Source organism: Homo sapiens, chromosome 18 (assembly GCF_000001405.40).
Source record: "Homo sapiens chromosome 18, GRCh38.p14 Primary Assembly".
NCBI classification, from domain to species: Eukaryota; Metazoa; Chordata; class Mammalia; order Primates; family Hominidae; genus Homo; species Homo sapiens.
Window position 1 is genome coordinate 41,390,804 of NC_000018.10, and position 1,808 is coordinate 41,392,611.

Below are 1,808 nucleotides of genomic sequence, written 5' to 3' on the forward strand. Positions count from 1 at the left end.
AAAGATCAATACCTTTTTCTCTCAGTGGCGTAAAACATCTCAGGTTACTTTGTCCCTGTTTATTCCAGCAACTCCAAGTTCAAAGTAAACGTTAAAGTCATGAGGGTAAAATCATATTTTCAGAGTAAATGAGGACACTTTGAAATTGGCTAAAATGTTTGCTTCACCAGCTTTTGAGATATCAAGCTGAAGGCCTCTGCTCTAGGGATAGAGGCAAAGGAAGAGGCGAATGATTGAATGGGGGTTTTCTGTTTTTCAAGCAGAGCAGCCAAAACTGCTAGACAAAGCCACAAGCTAAGCATCTATGAAACACGATAGAGATAATTTGTCTTATCTCTGGGAGGAACAACACAGCAATTTCTGTGTGTTTCTCTCCATAAAATGGGTTTTCAAAATTTGCTGCTTTTTCCCAGGATGTTGAAAGCAAAATATCATATTAACACCCAAAAAGATAAATGCCACTTCTATGGAAAATGTTGTGAGATGTCACCAAATGTAAAAGCAGAGGCCTTCTCTCCAGCTGCTGAAATGCGCATTCGTTTTATGTCTTTCCCACTGAAATGTAACCATCCCGATAGATATTTCAGCACACTATACAGAAAAAATAGAATGATCCTCCAATCATTATCTATAGGACATTACACTGATAAATGGTGGTATTAATGAACCTAAATAAATTTGAATCCTTTCTCCCTGCAGTTATTTTGATAATACAAGAATCTAGTAAAGTACATGGAATTAACAATTAAAGGGGGTTAAGCGGACACTTAATACTTTTTCTTTTTTGCACAATTTGGCAGTAATGCATCTGCTGTAATCAGGATTTTTATTTCTCTTTGGGAAAAAAAAGGGGGAAATGTTTATATTTTGGAAGCAAAGCCTCCAGGATTTGCAGCTCCTCGGTGCAGACCCAGCATGTACGTGTTTGCGTTTGTGTGTGTGGCTTGTGTGCGCATTGGTGGCCCCGCCGGGCGCGGCTGGCCTGTCTGGCTTTCTCCTTTTGCAACAGCTCCACCTTTGGGCTTCTAAAGGGAAAGGTCCTTTTTTGCTAAAGGATATGAAAGAAAAGGCAACAGCCAGAAAAATGCACTCCGTACTCAACCTTTTGTTTAGTGAAACCAGACAATAAAATTATTTTCTTCATTAGAAAGAGGGACATGAAGAAGAAAGGGGAGCATGGAGAAAGAAAAGGAGGATAACAAGGAAGATAAAAGAAGGGAGACGGAGGATAGAGAAAGAAAAAAGGAGGAGGGCAAGGACGGAAAAGGGGAGAGCTTCCTTTTTTGACCAGAGGAAAATGCAGGACTCATTGAATAGTTATTTCTTGAATGCTTTTCTGCCTAGATTGCATACTTCTGTAAAGCTCTGATAGACCTGAAGTCCAGCATCTCTGTTTCAGACTTCCTCAGCAGTGTCATTTTCCCTGTCACTTGTTGTTTATAAACTATAGTACCAGATTAATGAATGAGAATATAACAGAGGATTTGGACTTCTGTTAAGCCCATTCTCTTTAAAATAAGGACTATGTGCAATATGTGCATGTTGGTAAGGTTCTCACTATTTCTTTCTGAAAGCTCAGCAGTCTTGGATTGTTTCCAGACAGATTATAGCCTCACTCCCAGAAAGCATGACCTTGGCTAACCAGGGATGGGGGAATGAACACAGAGAAACTTCTTAAATCCCACTGTCTACAAAATCCCAACCTTTAAATGTGTGAGTTTCAGTTAGGCAAGTATTTCGGGAATATAGTATGGGAGCTTAGTGGGAAGGGCTGGAGATCTAAGTAAATCTTTGTCTAGGGGAATTGG

General features: G+C 39.8%; 1 annotated feature.

Annotated features, from left to right (window-relative positions):
• Positions 918 to 967: a silencer, noted in NCBI's record as "silent region_9410". NCBI's record gives its function as "represses an Ori minimal core promoter by ATAC-STARR-seq in GM12878 lymphoblastoid cells {active_cell/tissue: GM12878}" and the evidence as "EXISTENCE:reporter gene assay evidence [ECO:0000049][PMID:35858748]".